Below are 19,425 nucleotides of genomic sequence, written 5' to 3'. Positions count from 1 at the left end.
ACTTCCTTTAATAGGTTTTGAATATGGAGGCTTGTTTTGTGCACTTTATATGGGATTTTATATTTAAATGATTTTTCAATGGTTACTTTTTTTTTTTTTTGGATGGAGTCTCAACTTTGTTGCCCAGGCTGGAGTGCAGTAGCAATATCAAGGCTCACTGCAGCCTTGATCTCCCTGGCTCAGGTGATCCTTTTATCTCAGCCTCCCAAGTACCTGGGACTACAGGTGCTCGCCACCACACCACAACTAATTTTTGTACATTTTGTAGAGTTGGTGTTTTGCCATGTTGCCAAGACTGGTCTTGAACTCCTGCTCAAGTGATCCTCCCACCTTGGACTCCCAAAGTAATGGGATTACAGGTGTGAGCCACCACACTGGTCTGTGGCTACTTTTTAAGCTTGCTTTGTTCTGATTTATGTAAAAAAATGGTGCTGCGTTTGAATTGTGCTTTTTCACCCCCTAAAAATGCTAAATTCTACTAGATTTCAGAGCTTTAAATGTTTTGCTAAATAGGATTTGCTGTTTGACATTTTTTTACCAAGACCAAATGTATGTGACTTTTAGGAAAGATGGCTTGGATATAGCGTGCCTGTAGAATATGCTTATGTTTGTATAGATGTTTCATAGCCTTACACATTTTAAAAAAACTACAACAGCATCTATGTACGTAGGATCATTTATTAAATAAGAATGATTATAGAAAAAAGGGATGTGTATTAGGGATAGGTGAAAAACGGAACTCTCATAACCTTTGAGAAGAGTAAAATAAAAATAAAATGAAAATAGCGTCATTCACTTTGTTCAGCAAATATTAATCCATACTGGCCACGTGCTGGTCCATATTCTTGGCTCTGGGAATTTAGCAATGGTCAGAATAGAAATGCCTGCCTAATAGGGTTTATTTTAATTGGTAAAGTTAGACAATAAAGAAATTAAAAAGTTGATAGTATGTTCAGGAGATAAGTGATATGAGAAAGTTAAAACGAGGGGAGGAGAATAGGTACAGTCGGATACAGAGGACATTGCAGTGTTAAATAAGAGTGGTCAGAGTGGAATCTGAAAAGATGAATTTCTATGAATCGCCAAGGAAATGTCACTGACAATGAAGAGACAAAGGCAGTTATAAGAAGATAGAAGGTGGTAGATACTGTGCAGCAGAGAAATCTGCTGAATTCCAAATAAACTGAATTCCAAGTGGAGAGTCAGGAGAGCCATTTCTCTATATTTTTGCTTTTCTACATGTAACTATCTTCTGTCTCTTTTTATTTGCACATTCTAGAGAATAGATTATTTCATAGTCCTAAGAAATTATTTTATCTAAAATAATCAGATAAAAGCTTGCAGCCTGGTCTTTTTGCTTCCATTCTAGCCTCTGTAATATCATGAGTTGTTTTAAAATGTTCAACTAGGGATTATCATGCAAAGTAAGTTTGGAAAAACAGGTTGATGTGAGGATGTAACATTTATATTAAATTACTAAGGTTTTATATTCTCAGGATGAAATAACTTTATGGAGTATTTGCTATCTCCATTTAAAGTCTAATAAAGCATATGGATACCTTGTGGTCTCTGATCAAGGATACTGCCTTCCAGAAAAAGTGGCTACTACCTGGGCTAAATTTCAACCGAGAAAGATCTAGACTGGCCTTAAATGTGTATGAAGCCCATTAAAAATTTTTTTTTAATTTAAATTAATTTTTTCAGTTACCAACAAAATCTATTCTTTCTGAGGTTCCAGGCATGTGTATTCTGTGATGTTAGAACCTTTACATCCCTTATTCAAAGTTGTTACTGAGAGCTTTAACTGAGAAAGGTGCAGAGAGATAACAGTTTAGGGATTTTTGTGATACTGAATTATTGGATGTGCTGGGTGAGAGACAGAGAGAGATAGATGTTGCAAGGAGGCAGATACATGGAGAGTTAGGCAATAATTCTTCACTATAAGAATAAAGGCTATGTTAATATATGGAGATGATATTTTGAAAAGTGAGGCTTTAGTAGTTCTCATATTATGGAAGAAAATCTTTGGAAGCAATTTATCCTCTTCTCTGTAGCTAATTCTAAAGAAATTACTATATTTAGAAGGATTGCCAATTCAGGAACATTATTTCCACATTCTCAATTATTAGAGTGTAGAAAAGTAGTAACTTTCCTTTCTCATCAGTGGTCATGTTTAGTAGTGAAAATGACAGTTGCTGCTAATGGGGGTCACAGAAAGCCCAGGAAACAGAGCAGTAATATTGGAAAACTCTTGGTGAAAATGTGTATGTGCTTACCCAAGGTCTAGACTAGTATAATCAGATGTGGACAATGGGCTGTAATGTAGTTATGGGAGATGGTTGTCATCATTACTGTTATTTATTGAGCCTCCAGTATGAATCTTTTCTAGTTGGTTACTTGATAGGGCTGTTTGTTTCCTAAGGCTGACACAAGCATTTTTTCTTCCTTCTTGCACTGTAGGTGTAAATTATACATAGTTTTTTCTTCTTAATATTAAAATATGTGAATCATTTTATGCTCTGCATTTAGACATTTAATCTACAGTAAACCCAACATTTTGAGCCTGCTTATAATAATTAAAACTTTAATTTACCTTTAATTCTTTTTTGAAAGAATAGTTTACACAGCTATTAGATAAAATTGCTGTTGCTAAATATTGTGTAATTTGCATATTTAGGAAAATAGGCATATAGATAAGAAAAATTGACCCCTTAGAATAGCAAAAAAAAATCATTTAGATATCTTATTAGTTTAATTTTTGAAGTCATTTTAATATTTTCATTAATGAAAGGACAAATAACATTGTGTGAATATTTAAAAAAATCAGAGGTATGTATTCAGGACCTTCTCAGAAACTTTGATTTTAAAACATTTTGTAAATTGTGAAGGAAAAGATATATATGCTTCCCTTCTTCTCTGAAAGTATTATTAAATACTTTACATACATCCCAATCACTTTTTATAATATTCTTTTAAATAAGTAAGGTTAGATGGTAATCATTTTGTATTATCCAGCAAAAATATTTCAAACTTAAATTTATGATACAGTTAAGTCTAAAAGCTCCATGGTGTTGCTGTTAATTGCTTAGATAAATTTAGATGCTTGAGAATATTTGGTTTGAAGTATTTTTACAAACTGTCCACTCATCAAATAATGATGGGGTATAGCCTACCTGAACAGTACCTCTTAGATGTTATGTTTATTAAAATAAAAAGAAGCAAAAGATTTTTTTAGTCCTTTTTTTTTTTTTTTAAAGATTTTTCCTTTTTCCTTCCCTGCTTCCTTAATCAGTTCTGGTTAAGGAAGCACATCTTCTGAGAGAATAGAGTAATACACATATAATTCTAATAGAATGTTTATAAGATATTCTATAAACAAGTATAATATATGCCGTACCTACAGTAATCATTAGGGATAAGATTGACATAAAATAACCTGGGCATTGTAGTTCACTCCTGTAATCCCAGCACTTTGGGAGACTAAGATGGGAGGATTGCTTGAGCCCAGGAGTTCAAGACCAGCCTGAGCAACATAGCATGATCCTATCTCTTTAAAAAAAATTGGGTAGTATGCACCTGTAGTCCTAGCTACTTGGGAATTTGAGGCCAGGATTTCTGAGACCAGCCTGGACAACATAGCAAGACCCCTGTCTCTACAAAAATGATATTAAAAATAAAGATTGACATAAAGTAAAGGTCTTTATAGGATAGAATTGCAGAATATTCCTTAGAGGGAAAGAGGATTGAAACGGATATAAGGAAGTTAAGGTTTTGGATATAAGGAAAGGACAAAAAAGTAGATTGGGAGTGGTTTATGGCACTCATTTTTTATCATTCAGTATCCATTTATTGATTATAATCCATGTGCCAGGTACTATTCTGGAATCTGAGGATATAGCTGTGAATAAGTCTGTGCTGTCATAAAGGAGAGAACAAATAATAAACAAGTAATCAAAATAAGACAATTTAGAAAGTAATAAATGCTTAGAAGGAAACAAAGCAGGATAATGTTATGAGAGTAAACATACTGGCTTTTAGGGAGTGTGGAGTGTTTAGAAAAATCTTGTGAAGGGGAAACAGTTTGAATGAAGAGAAGTAGCTAACCCTTTTGAGATGTATGTCACAACATTTTAAGGCAAGGAAACAGCAAGAGCAGAGGCCATAAGGAGTGAATAGTATTGTGTATTATTTAAACAAATTGAAGGCCAGAGTGGCTGGAACAAAATCAGCAAGAAAGAGTAAGGCTTGGGAATGTCAAGAGAAGTATTCAATATTCAGATCATATAAGGCCCTATAAGCTATGCTAAGAAATTTGGATTAAACCATATTCAGTAAGAGCAGAGTTTTTAATAGACGAGTGGCATGATATAACTTACAGGGTTTTTTTTTTCTGCTTATTTGTTTGTTTTGTTTTTGAGACAGGCAGCGTCTCTCTGTTATACAGGCTGGAGTGCAGTGGCTTATTGCAGCTACATACTCCTAGCTAATGTGATCCTCCCACCTCAGCCTCCTGAGTAGCTGGGACCACAGGCACATGCCACCATGCCCAGCTATTATTATTATTTTTTTTTTGGGTAGAGATAGGGACTTGCTATGTTGTCCAGGCTGGTCTTGAGCTCCTGGGCTCAAGCAGCCCTTCTGCCTTGGCCTCCCAAAGTGCAGGAATTATAGGCATGAGTCACTGGGGTTGTCTTTTCACTCTGTTGGGTTTGTCCTTTGATGCACAGAAGGTTGTTGTTTTTTCCTTTATCTTTTTAAAAATAGACGTGGAGTCTCTCTATGTTGCCCAGGCTGATCTTAAATTCCTGAGCTCAAGCGATCCTCCTGCTTTAGCCTCCCAAAGTGTTGGGATTACAGGTGTGAGCCAGTTTACCTGGCCCAGAAGTTTTGATGTAGTCCAGTTTATCTATTTTTTTTTTCTGTTATTGCCTGCGCTTTTGGTATTACGTCCTAGAAATCATTGCCAAATTCAGGGTCATGAAGCTTTTCCTTATGTTTTCTTTTAGGAGTTTTATAGTTATAACTCTTACATTTAGGTCTTTGATCCATTTTGAGGTAATTTTATATATGATGTAAGGTAAGTGCCTTAGTCTCTGTATGCTGCTATAAAAAATACCTGAGACTGGGTAATTTATAAATAATAGCAATTTATTTCTCATAGTTTTAGAGGCTTAGAAGTCCAAGATTAAGACACTGGCAGGTTTCAGTGTGTGATGAGGGCTGGGTCTTTGCTTCTAAGATGGCACTTTGAGCACTGTGTCTTCACCTGGTGGAAGCCGAAAGGGCAGAAGAGGCTAAACATTGTGTGAAGACTATTCTTTAAAGGCCTTAATTACATTCACTAGGAAGGAGCCCTCATGACCTAATGACCTCAGAAAGGCCTCACCTCTTAATACTATTGCATTGGAGATTAGGTTTCTACAAGAATTTTGGAGGGGATACAGATATTCAAACCATATCAACAAGCATCCAATTTCATTCTTTTTTTTTTTTTTTCTGTGAGATGGAATCTTGCTTTGTCACCCAGGCTGGAGTGCAATGGTGTGATCTCAGCTCACTGCAACCTCTGTCTCCCAGGTTCAAGCGATTCTCCTGCCTCAGCCTCCTGAGTAGCTGGGATTACAGGTGCCCACCACCATGCCCAGCTAGTTTTTGTAGTTTTAGTAGAGACGGGGTTTCACCATGTTGGCCAGGCTGGTCTCGAACTCCTGACCTCGTGATCTGCCTGCCTTGGCCTCCCAAAGTGTTGGGATTACAGGCGTGAGCTACCGCGCCTGGCTCAATTTCATTCTTTTGTATGTTGATATCCAGCTTTCCCAACACCATGGCTTACATTCTTAGAAGAATGAATTGTGATAGGATTGGTATACAGGGCAAGAATGAAAGCAGATAAGTCAGTGAAGATATTACTGAAGTATTCTAGAAAAGAGGGAATGGTGACTTAGAATGATGTGGTAGCAATGATGATGGAGAGAAATAAACATATATGTGATGTATTTAATAGTTAAAGCAGTAGAACTTGCTTTCATGAATGGGATTTGGAGGTGAGGAAATGACAAAATCAAAGATTATTTCTTGAGTTTGAGTGGACTTTGGCGCTATTTATTGTGGTGGGACAAACTGAGGTAGTGATGGGGAAGAGGTATTATTGGCAGTGAGTAGGTAGAATCAAGAGTTCTGCTCTGGAAATGTTAGATTTGAAATGCCTTATTGGGTATCCACGTGAAGATTTTAGTTGGACAGTTGGCCCTGTGAGTCTGAAATATAGGAGACCAAGGATAGGGTTAGAGATATAAACACAGGAATTAGTACTATGTAGGTGAGATTAAAAGTCATAGAACTGGATGAAATAATTTAGAGGGAGGAAAGAACACACAGCTGAGCTCTTGGACATTACAAGATTTGTAGGTAGTGCAGCGGAGGATGTAGCAAAGTGGGCAATGAAGAAGCAGCAGCTAGATAGGAGGAAAACCAAGAAAGTGCTATGTATTATTGCAAAAGTTAAGAGAAGAAAATGTTTTAAGAACCTTAAGAACCTTTTCACAGTTATCTTGCTGTTTGTATATAGTCCTATAACTTTCCATATTAGATTGTGAACTCTTTGTGGACAGTGTTATGCATGTTTGTATTCCTTACAGTTAGCAGCTTAGAAGTGACTGGCAGAAGTGGATAGTCAAAGTTTCTTTTCCTTATAAGCACTGCTGGGTCCCCAGGCACTGTTCTATGCTTTGGTTGTGTAAAGATAAATTATAAATGGTTGGTGCAGTGTCAAATGGAAGACAGATTTGTAAATACATAATTGAAATTGTGTTATACAGAAAGTTTCAAAGTAATAAGTACTAAAGAAGAGACTGATACACGTTGGTAGGGGATTACTTCTGTGGAGGGAAAGCAGGTGTGGGATCAGAAAAGGTTCTGTAGTGAACCTTTACTTTGGTTTAGCTTTGAAGGTAGGTTAGATAGAATATGAAGTGAGGTCATTCCTGGGACAGTAGCAACAGAGGCAAAGGAGTGTACAGTAACAGGGTGTAATGTTTGAGAGAGTAGTTCCTGACCTGGAGTTCTTAGAGTATAAAAGTTTAACAACAATGAGACTGATTTATAAGCCATGGAAAGGTGTTTAGTCTCTTTTGTAGATCATGGGAAGATGGCTGACGGCTGATACCTTGTCAACAATACAGTGATTATCAGATTTTCATTTTAGAAAGATGATCCCAGTGAAGAATGGGCAAGAATAGTAAGACTCATGGAAAGAAGTTGGATTGGAGGCTATTATCATAATCAAAGACATGATCCTGAGTTCCAGTGAGTTTCCAGTGAAGGGCACCGGAAAAGGTTACAAAGAAAAACAACTTTTGGCCGGGCGTAGTGGCTCACACCTATAATCCCAGCACTTTGGGAGGCTGAGGTGGGCGGATCACAAGGTCAGGAAATCAAGACCATCCTGGCTAACACGGTGAAACCCTGTCTGTACTAAAAATATAAAAAATTAGCCGGGCATGGTGGTGGGCTCTGGTAGTCCCAGCTACTCTGGAGGCTGAGGCAGGAGAATCACTTGAACCAGGGAGACGGACATTGCAGTGAACCGAGATCATGCCACTGTACTCCAGCCTGGGCGATGGAGCGAGACTCTGTCTCACAAAAAAAAAAAAAAAAAAAGTAAGAGAAACAACTTTTAAAGTTATTGCAGAGGTAGAATGGGCAGTACTTGGTCTATTGGATCTGTAGGATGATGAAGAAGGAAGATATGACTGATATTTCTAGCTTCAGTAACTGGATAAATAATGGTTATGTTAATGGGGCAAAGAATGAAAGAATGAATGATCTCTGGATAAGGGACTATTTTGATAAATTACGGTACATTCCATCCACATGAGTCACTTGAAGCTGTTCTGATTACATAATGGTATACGGTTAAGTAAAATATACAAGTATTATAGTATGACTTCTTAAGTATTTAAAAATATTTTTACAAAACACATGAACATGTACATTTGTATATATGTATATATGCACATAAATACTGTATGTGTTTCATATATATGCACATAAATACTGTATATGTTTCTATAAGTTTAGATAAATGTAAGGACAGGAACATAAACTACTCATGGTGGTGATGTATTCTGAAAAGTGAACAGGGAAGGGGGCTGGGAGCTTTCACTTGTTGCTTCATTATTAAAGTGTTGCATGGTTTTTAAATGCTATGTAACCAGAAAAATGAGTGAAACATCAAGACAGAAATATCCTACCTATCTAAGTGTATATGTCAGTAAATGGACATCTTGAAAACTAAGTGATAGAAAGGGATGTTTCGGTTCTCTTGAAAATAGAACACACAAGATTTTTTCTCGGCTGGGCGCAGTGGCTGACGCCTGTAATCCCAGCACTTTGGGAGGCCAAGGCGGGCAGATCATGAGATCAGGAGATCGAGAACATCCTGGCCAACATAGTGAAATCCCGTCTCTACTAAAGATACAAAAATTAGCTGGGCGTGGTGGTGCGTGCCTGTAATCCCAGCTACTCAGGAGGCTGAGGCAGGAGAATTGCTTGAACCAGGGAGCCAGAGGTTGCAGTGAGCTGAGATCGTGCCACTGCACTCCAGCCTGGGCGACAGAGTAAGACTCCATCTCCAAAACAAAAACAAAAAACAAAAAACAAAGGTTTTTTTCTCTTTATAACTTTGTTCATACTGTTATCTGAAGTATCTTTCTCTTTTTGTTGCTTTTGCCCTTTAAGGCTCATCTTCATGCTCTAATTTTCTATTGGAGCTTTTTTTCATCTTTAGTAGATTATTGTGATCTTTGCTTCTATAGAGATATGATAGCAAACATATTCTTATGTTCTAATTTTATTTGTATTGCTTATTTTATAACAAATTCCCACAAATTTTGCAGCTCAAAGCAACTTATGTTTACTATCCTACAGTTTCTGTGGGTCAGAAGTCTAGACTCAGCTTAGCTGGATCTTCTGTTTAGGGTTTTACAAGTCTACAATAAAGGTGTTGGTCAAACTGCATTTCTTTCTGGAGCTTGGGGTCACAAATTTCTTGGCAGAATTCAGTTCCATGCTGTTGTGGTACTGAGTTTCCCATTTTCTTGTTTACTGTCACTGAGAGGATGCTCTCAGATCCTACAGGCTGTCCATACTTCCCTGTCTCATGGCCTGGTCACACATAGCCACTTACTTCTTCTTCAGGGGTGGCAGGAGAATCTCTGCAGTATGCTAGGGCAGAACTTTATTACATAAGTACCAGAGTGATTATCCCATCACCGTTGGCATGTAAAGTACCCTAATTAAGGAATGATTATCCCATTATCTTTACTATATTCTGTTTGCTAGAAGGAAGTGCCAGATTCTGCCCAGGTTGAACTCAAGGGGTTGGGATCATTTAAAGCCACGACTCACTGGAGGTCACATTAGGGTGTGTCCACCATAGCACTTATGTTAATATGAGTTTCAAGCTGGAAAGGACTCCAGTGGATTCTCTTTTTCCCCAACTAAAATATAATGAAAGGTCATCTTTGCTGCTTAGCCTAGTCTATAATGTAATAGGTGTTGAACAGATGTTGGACAGTGTTTTTAAAAGGCAGAGGCACAAAAATGTTAAAAGATCAGAATTAGCACTCAGAAGATTTATTCAGTTATAATGTATATGAAATGATGAAACCTTTATTTTTAGGACATTGGCTATAAAACAGCATAAATTAAAGCTGAGAATATTACAAAGGAAATATTGACAAGACTTATTGATTGATTAGGGGCCTGAAGGAAGGTGGTAGAGAAGAGGGAAGAGACTAGAATAACTTTGAGGTTACTTGTTTGGGGACTAGTAGGATAGTGTGCCATTGACTAATCAATTCAATTAATGTTTGAAAGTACAAGGCAATATATTGATGTTAAATTCACAATGTGGTTTTAGGTCTCTAGAGGGAAATTAAGAACCCAAACCAGTATTTCACATCTGTACTCTTGAAAGCCCTTGTTTTTTCTATCGTAGAATCAGAGGAAGTTATTCATTAGTGGGTTTTAAAATTACACTAGGGATGGTTTTTGTCTGTAATGCCTAAATGAGTACTGTTTAATAGCATTTGAAAAAAAATACCCTGATGATGTCACCCCAAAATCATAGATAAGAAATTGCATTAACTTCTAAAGTAGCTGGAAGACAGTTTGGGGATAGAAGAGAGAGTCTGACAGAGCTGGAGTCAAATTAAAATAGTGTATGTGAGCCTAATAGAGATCGAAACAAAGTGATAGAATGGCAGAAAGCTTTTTTATTTTCTTTAAGGATTTTCTGTTTTCCTTTCTTTTGATTATTGATTGTTGTAAAGCTTCAAAGAACAGAGACATGTAAGGAGGAGGACTTAAGCCTCACTCACTAGCCCAGACATGTGCATGCTTTTTCTGTAAAAGGCCAGATAGTTCTTTAGGCCTTGCAGTACACATGGTCTTTTTCACAACTGGTCAACTCAGTGTAGTATGGTGAGTTGAAAACAGCCATGGATAACACTTAAACAAATGGGCCTAGTTGTGCTCTTATAGAACTTACTAACCAAAAAATGTTGGCAGGCTAGATTTGGCACACAGGCCTTAATTTGCTGACCCCTGTTCTAGATTATTGGCAATTAAAAGAAAGTGTATTTTCTTTTATATGTTCCCCAAGCTCATATTGTTCATAATATTCCTCAGGTTTATTTTTCCTCTTAATGTATATTGTGGACATTATTTTGTCAATTTGGAACAATCTACTTATATGATTGTATATTTTGATTCTTTAAGATTCTCACTTTCATAAATAGTGTTGTAGTGAAATTAATTGATTCATGAGGAATATTTTCCACATGTTTTTCTGCATTGTGGGAACATGTTCATATAGCGCATTATTAAGACTGCTGGCCAGGCGCGGTGGCTCACGCCTGTAATCCCAGCACCCTGGAAGGCCAAAGCAAGTGGATCACTTTAGGTCAGGAATTCAAGACCAGCCTGGCCAACATGGTGAAACCCCACCTCTACTAAAAATACAAAAATTAGCCGGGGGTGGTGACTCATGTACCTGTAATTCCAGCTACTTGGGAGGCTGAGACATGATAATCACTTGTACCCAGGGAGCGGAGGTTGCAGTGAGCTGAGATCCTGTCACTGTACTCTAGCCTGGGCAACAGAGTGAGACTCTATCTCCAAAAAAATAAAAACAATTTTTGTGACAATTGCTTTGGATCCAAGTTTATGTTTGCTCTTTTTTTGTTTTTGTTTTGTTTTTTGTTTTGAGACAGGTTCTTACTTTGTCGCCCTGGCTGCAGTGCAGTGATGCCATCATGGTTCACTGTAGCCTCTACCTCCTGGGCTTAGGTGATTCTCCTGCCTTGGCCTTTTGAGTAGCTGAGACTACAGATGTGTACCACCATGCTCAGCTAATTTTGTTGTTTTTGGTGTTTTTTTGTAGAGAAGAAGTCTCTTTATTTTACCCAGGCTTGTCTCAAACTCCTGGGGCTCAAGGAGTCTCTTTTCTACGTGCTGGGATTGTAGGCATGAGCCACTGTACCTGGCCTTATTTATATTTTAAATGAAAACATTGCTACAAAGTGAGGCAAGTGCCCTGTGGAATGGGAGTAAGTTCATGTCATTGTTGATGACTGCTAGGTGTAACTTTTGTAGGTGGGCATTTTCTAGTGGCAGTTTAGCCACTTTTGTTATATAAATTTAAAAAAATAATCCTTGCAGGCCATGTATGTTCATGCCCATAATTTCAGCACTTTGGGAAGCTAAGGCAGGAGGATCACTTGAGCTCAGGAGTTTGAGACCAATATAGGCAACATAGTGAGACCCTGTCTCTACAACACCACCAAAATAACTTACAGGGTACGATGGCACATGTATATAGTCCCAGCTACTCAGCAGGCTGAGGTAGGCAGATCACTTGAGCTTGGGAGGTTGAGGTTTCTGTGAGCCATAATTGCACCACTGCACTCCAGCCTGGGTGACAGAGCGAGACTCTGTCCCTAAAAAAAAAAAATAATAATAATAATAATAATGATAATAATAATAATTCTATCCCTGCCCGCTCTATGTTCTCAACTCCTATTAAAGAAGGAAGTTTAGAAGACCTATACATATCAAAAATGTTCCAGATTACATAAAGTGAATCATTCTGTTGATATGTTTATAAGTAAATGGTGTTATAAAAGCGCTAATCAGAATGGGTCGTTTGTTTATACATCTAAGACATTTTATTAAAATATTTAGAACTCCGTGGCCATTATCAGTGTTCCGTGTGAGTCCTCATATGGAGAGGTAGCACTGAAGGTTACCATTTCTTAATCTCTTAACTTCTAATACCATAGTTTTGTTTTTAAAAATTTTTATCTTTATACAAGGCAATTCATACATTTTATATTTTTTGTGTGCTTTTGCTCAATATTGTTAGTGAAATTCATATTGTTAGTGAAATTCATATTGTTATGCATAATATTGATTCTTTTTTTTCCTACTTAGCATTTTACTTTATGAAAGTCCAACATTTTAAAAATTAGTTTTATTTTTAATGGACATTTGGGTAGTTGCTAGTGTTTGGCTATTGTAAATAATTGCCATGAACATTTTTATTAATCGATTTTGTGATTATAAGAGTCCCTGTTACTTCACATCTTTGATATAACTTGGTGATGCCAGCCTTTTAAACATATATAGCCATTCTGTGGAGTATAGTATATCTTATGGTTTTAAGTTTTATTTCCTTGATGACTAGTAATCCTGAACAACTTTTCATAATCTTATTCACCATTTGGAAATCTTCTTTTGTGAAGTGCTTGTGTACTTTTCCCATTTTAAAAATTGTGATCATTTTCTTTTATTTGTAAGAGGCTTTTTAATATATTTAAGATAGCAGTTCCTCGTTGGTTGTAATTTTTCCAAGTATATTCTCTCTCTCTGAAGTTTGGCTTTTAATTCTCTTAGTGGTGGCTTTCATAAGCACAAGTCTTTAAATTTTGATGTAGTTCATTTTGTCACTATTTTTCTTATGTTTTGTGTATTTTTGTTTGGTGCAGTAAGTCTTTACATCGACCCAGTCAGGAAGATGCTCTCTTATGTAATCTTCTAGAAACTTTTTAAACTTCCTGAAATCTTTAGGTCTTGTCTAGGATTCATTTGGAATTGGTTTGTTTGTATGGTTTGAGGTAGAAGTCAGGGTTAATTTGTCCATATGAGCATCAGTTGATTGATCTAAGACCAGTTTTTGGAAAAGACCATCTTACTTATAAGTCTTTTAATATCATTATCATTATTATCATCTCTCTTCCCCTCTTTAAGAATGTCTCATGTATTCTTGTTTGTTTACATTTTCTATAGATTTTAGAATTAAATTTGAACTCATCAGATTATGCAGAAAGACCTGCTAGGATTTTGATTGGACTGTATCTATAAATAGCTTTGTGGAGAATTGATATCTTTAATACAAGCCTTTCCCTTTCATGAACATGGTATACTTTTTTCTTTAAGTTTTAACTTTTTTTTTTTTTTTTACCATTCTTTCTGTTTGACATGCAGAATTCTAGCACATTTTTGTTTCTTTTTCCTACATATTTTGATGGTTTTGAATGCTTTTCAAAATAGTATTTAAAAACCATTTTTACTTTGTTAGTAACCTATACATATAATCTAGTTGATTTTTGTGTATTTGCCTTAAATCCAGTGACCCTCCTAAATTCAATTATTACTTTTAATTGTTTACATTTTTCTTTTGGATTTTTTCAGTATTTCAAATAACTAACTGTTAACTTTATCTTCTAAAGTGTATTTTTTATTTTCTATTTAATTTCTGTTCTTATCCTTATTTAACTTTCAGTGTTCACTGGCTGTTCTTTTTCTGATTTCTTCAGTTCAATACTTGCATAATTTATTTTGACAATTTTTTTCTTCTTTAGTGTTTTTATTCAGTGTATCAATTTCCCTCTAAGCATTGGTTTAAGGTTTATCTAAATCCACAGATTTTGGCACATTGTTTTTACTATGTTTTACTGCAAACGTTTCCTAATTTCCATTATGATGTATTCTTTTATGTGTGCGTTTTTTTCAGAGGTGCATTCTTTAATTTTTAGACATGAAATGATATTACTTAGCGACTGCTGTGTTAACAATATTATCACAACTTAGCCTTAAAGAAACATACATTTGTTATCTCAATTTTTCTTGGTCAGGAATCCTAGGCATGGCTTAGCTGGGCCTCTCCTTCAGGTTCACTTACAAGGCTGCAATTGAGGTGCTGGCCAGAGTTGCAGTCTTATTTGATGTTTGACTAGGAAAGGATCTGCTTCCATGATCATGTGATTGTTGGCAGGATTCACTTCCTTTTGAGTCGTTAGACTGAGAGTCTGAATTCTTTGCGGGCTGTTGTCTGGGGCTCTACTCAGCTCCTTGCCATGGAGGCCTTTACACAGGGCAGCTCATAACATGACAGCTTTCTTTAGCTAAGCCATTAAGGGAGAGCGTCAATAGAGTCTGCTAGCAAGATGCAAGTTACCATCTTATTTAATGTAATTATTGAAGTGTTATTCCTTCATTGTTGCCATATTTTCTTGCTTCGAGGCAAGCCCCATCTCCTTCTTACACTCTAAAGGGGAAGATTACATAATGCTGTGGATACCAGGAGGTTAGGAAAGTCAGTGGTCAGCTTAGAGCTTCTTGCAGAGTGATCTGTATCCTGTTATTTCTAGTTTAATTGAAATGTATCAAAGAACATACTGAGTATGATTCCATCATTTGAAATTCACTGTAAATTGCTTTGTGACCCCGCATTTTGCCTGTTTTTTTTAATATGTTCCATGTTTACCTGAAAATAATATTTATTATTCACTTACTGGGTATAATGTTCTCGATATGTCAGTCAGGTCAGGTTAAAAAATATTCTATAGCTTTATATATTCTATATCTGGTAGTAGGCCATATTCTTAAGAGCATACAAATTTAGAATCTCAAAATACTAAATTTCTGTATCTCTAGTTCATTTATCCTTTTATTAATTTAACAGGTTTATTTTATTTCTGTTTGCTTCTCATACTAAAAAAAGTTTATTACCTTTTAGCTTTTAAAAATTGTTCATGTTTTCTGAAATTATACTTTTCAATCTTTGTTTAACCTTATATTGAAATTGTGTCACTTACAAGCATCATATGCCTTAAAAAATTGATTTGACAATAATTTTACTACTAAATGTTTACTTTCTATGTATTTCTGATATGTTTAGGTTAAAATTTATCATCTTATTATTTATGTCCTTTATATTTGCTCCACATCTTGTGTTTCTTTTTTTTTTCCTTCTTCTGAGCTAAGTATTTGTTGCTTAATTTTTTTCCCATTGGCTTGTTGGTTATATATTATTTTAAATAACTTTAGTGGTTACCCAGAGATTGTAGTATGAATATTATAATTAACATCTTACATAAACTGATTCTTTTGCCAATTGATGTATGACACAAGAAACTTATAACACTAATTCAGTTGGTTTCTCTTGCCTTGTATGCTGTGGTTATATATTTTAGATTGCAGTATTTTTTAATTCTAGAAGTTACATAATTATTGTAAACATTCAGTATACTTTTAGATTTACCCACGTTTGTCATTTTCATTGCTCCAATTGTTTTCCTTGACTTGTATCAATCTTATATTATTTTTCATCCTTGTGAAGTATGTTGGTTGGCTGGTGACAAATTCTCACTATTTTATTTGTCATGGAATGTTCTTATTTTGCTTTTGATGATGAGGAAAAGTTTTCCTCTACCCTCTTAGGTTTGTTGTTTGGGGACCTGTGAATTAAACAGACAAACACAGCTTAGCAAGAAAAAAGACCTATTTTTAGTCATAAGTCTGTCAGAATTCGGCCGGCTGCTGTGTCTCACACCTGAAATCCCAGCACTTTGGGAGGCCAAGGCGGGCGGATCACCTGAGGTCAGGAGTTCAAGACCACCCTGGCTAACATGGTGAAACCCCGTCTCTACTAAAAATACAAAAATTAGCCTGGCATGATTGTGAATACTTGTAATCCCAGCTACTCAGGAGGTTGAGGCAGGAGAATCGCTTGAACCCAGGAGGCAGAGGTTGCAGTGACCCGAGATTGTGCCATTATACCCAGCCTGGGCGACAGAGCGAAACTTCGTCTCAGAAAAAAAAAAAAAAAAAAAAAAAAGATTCAGAGAAAAATGTGACTTGAGGAGGGGGTTAGAATTTGGGGTTATATACATACCATTTTAATAGGGTAAAAGTGAAGTAATGAAGGGCACATTTGGGAAAGCTAATGATTTTGTGAACAGTAAGTGGGCCCTTAGGAGAATAGTTAAGTGATATTATAGTTTTGTATCAATGTCTATTTAGATAATTTCTCATCCTGGTACTAACTTCTCATCTTTACTGACAATAGTCAATCTTCCTTGGTTGCAAAACTCCCTGGGAAGGGATTGATGAAAGCTAAATTCTTTTGGGAGCTTCTTCATTTAGGTGGATAAAGAAAGTTCAGAAAAATACTCTTTTTTTTTTCCCACAGTGGTATACTCTTGACCCTTTAAATCTCATTATTGAAGGATACTTACTGAGGATAGAATGCTTTTCTTTCTCTCTCTCTTTCTTTCGTCTTTCTTTTCTTTTCTTTTTTCTTTTCTTTCCTTTCTCTCTCTCTCTTTTTCCTTCGTTCGTTCATTCGTTTGTTCATTCGTTCTGTCGGAGTCTCGCTCTGTCACCCAGGCTGGAGCGCAATGGTGCAATCTGGGCTCACTGCAAGCTCCGCCACCCAAGTTCAAGCCATTCTTCCACCTCAGCCTCCCTAGTATCTGGGATTATAGGCACCTGCCATCATGCCTGGCTAATTTTTATATTTTTAGTAGAGACAGGGTTTCACTATGTTACCCAGGCTGGTCTTGAAGAGGATAGAATTCTTAGGTGGTTGGTTGGTTGGTTTTGAGAGAGGATCTCTCTCTGTTGCTCAGGCTGAAGTGCCATGGTGTGATCATAGCTCACTATAACTTGAAACTCATTGACTCAAGTGATGCTTCTGCCTCAGGCTCCTGAGTAGCTGGGACCATAGGCATGCACTACCATGCCTCGCTAATTAAAAAAAACTTTCTTGGTAGAGATGGGATCTCACTACATTGCCAAGGCTGGTCTTGAACTACTGGCCTCATGTGATCCTCTCGCCCGGACCTCCCAAAGTGCTGGGATTACAGGTGTGAGCCACTGGCCTGGCCTTTTAGGTAGTATTTTTGTTTAGTATTTCAAATAGGTCATTGCATTCTTATCTGGCTTCCATTAGGCTTATTGTTGCTCTTTTGAAGGCCTCTCCCGCTGTCTGCTATTAAGAATTTTTTTCTTTGATAGTTTTACTATTACTGCCTAAGCAGGGTATCCTTAAAAACCCTGCTTGGGTTTTGTAGCACTCCATCAACATATGGCTCAGTGTTTTTTCCCAGTTTTGAAAAATCTTGGCCATTATCTCTTCAAATATTGCTTTTTTCTAATTATGTATCTACTCTTTCTTATACTACAGATACACTTACATTAGATTCTTTTACCATGTCCTATATGTCTGTTATTTATTTTGTTCAATTTTCATTAATTTTTCTTACTATGTTTCAGTCTAGTTGTCATTGACCTATCTTTCAGTAAATTTTTCCTTTTTTGGCTGAGCTTAATAACCCAGTAAATCTATTTTTATATTTATTTATTTTTTTTCAGTTCTTCTACAGTTTTCATTCTTTACTGGAATTCTCTGTTACACAATTAGTTCTAAACATATTAACTATATTTATTTCAATGTCCAGATGTGAGCCAGTTTCTATTTAGTTTCCATTCGTATGATATTGTCTCTTGTGCCTATTAATTGGTGACTGAATGCTGAAAATTGTATTTTAAAATGGCAAGGGTAAATTTAAGTCTCTATGATATTATCTTCCTTTAGAAAGGACTTCCTTTTGGTTTCTGATTAGCAGTTAGACTAATGGCCGATTGTATTAATTTAGGGTCTGAGCTGACTCAAGGCTGGGTTTTTATTTTTAAGTTCTTGTGAGAGTTTGGCCTATTTTGTTTGCCTTCTCCTAGTGTGTAGCCCTTCTGAGGTACTCTGAAAACCTGGGGTTTTGCCATGGCCCTCCTGCATTGGTATTTCTGATTTTTTTCTCCCCACCCTGAAAGCTTTGCTTAGCTTTTTGGCTGCCAGTTAACCTAAATACCAATCACCAAATCTCTGAAGGTCTGTTTCAGTGTTTTGAGGCCTGGTCTATTTCTTGCTTTCTGGGGTACACTTGATTCCTGCTGTAACTCTTGGGTAGTCTACCGGGACTCCTCCACCTTGACAGACTGTGAACCTCAATTTTTTTCTATTTATCTTTGTGAGACTAGTGACAGGTCTGTGTAGCTTTTCTGTTCTCACTTGGGAATAGCAAATGCCTTAATGTAAAAAGTCACACTGATTGTCCTTTGTGTGCTTTCTTCTCTGTGATCTTCACTGGTTAATTTTGGCTGCCTTGGTAACTTTCCAGTGCATTTTAAAAGATTAAAACACAACTTTAATCCAGTATTTTTAGTTGCTTTTGTTACATGGCTAGTCTGATAGAAGCTAATCTGCTATTGCCAGAAGGGTAACCTTTTGCTGTTGTTACATTCCTCAATTATTTAGCATGAAATAATGGTACCTCATTGTGTATGATGTCAAAAGAAGAAAGTAAGTATTCCTTCCTCTCCACCGTAAGCAGTGAATAATCATTTATGTTGTGTGTGTATACATATATTTATTTGATAACATTCATTTCTTACAGGTTGCTTAGCCAGACAATGAAGGATCATCTAGTAAGAGTAGCAAATGAAGCTGAATTTATCCTGAGCAGGCAGAGAGCAGAAGATATTCACAGACATGCGGAATTTGAGGTAGGTTACACATATGGTTGGTGTGCGGAAGTTACCGTTTTTTAATGATAATCATGAGAAATTGTCCCGGTAAAATGGCAGGTCCAAAGAAACATAGTATATGTCATCAAAAAATTAAAATCTAGGTTTATAGGAGAGTCATGGGGGTTCTGGGAGATAGTACATGTCTCTTTAGCCCTCTTGTCTCAATTGTAGTTGAGCTACCACAGAAGCTTGATCAGAGAAGCTTCTTGTTTGGCTGCTCTAATCTTAATAATCAGAGGTAAATCTTGGCTCTGATGGTTTTCCTATAAAGAAAACTGGTGAAGGAGTTGGCCCTTTCTGGACAAAACAGAGCTAGTTAGCCAGAAATGAAAATCTCTATGGCAAAGGTAAGATCATCCAGGTTTCTAGAGAGGAGCTGAACACAGGGGTGTGAAATTTCTCTGTCTTTAGGGTTTGAGAGCGTAACAGTATTTGTAGCTGAGGAAATGAGGGAGCACACACCTCTCTCCTTGGATTCTCATAGGAGAGGAC

At 36.5% G+C, this 19,425-nt stretch overlaps 1 protein-coding gene across 9 annotated transcripts in view; it reads left to right on the top strand.

Annotated features, from left to right (window-relative positions):
- Positions 1–19,425, top strand: part of LRBA (LPS responsive beige-like anchor protein) — a 751,293-nt gene that overhangs the window by 261,561 nt on the left and 470,307 nt on the right. For all 9 annotated transcript variants that reach the window (XM_047416462.1, NM_001367550.1, NM_006726.5 and 6 more), the window contains exon 36: positions 18,801–18,909. In XM_047416462.1, coding sequence (XP_047272418.1) covers positions 18,801–18,909 — 109 coding nt within the window. The remainder of the gene's footprint in view (positions 1–18,800; positions 18,910–19,425) is intronic.

This window comes from Homo sapiens, chromosome 4 (genome assembly GCF_000001405.40).
Source record: "Homo sapiens chromosome 4, GRCh38.p14 Primary Assembly".
Taxonomy (NCBI): Eukaryota; Metazoa; Chordata; class Mammalia; order Primates; family Hominidae; genus Homo; species Homo sapiens.
Note: the sequence above shows the minus strand (reverse complement) of the source record. Positions and strands in the feature narration are given on the sequence as shown.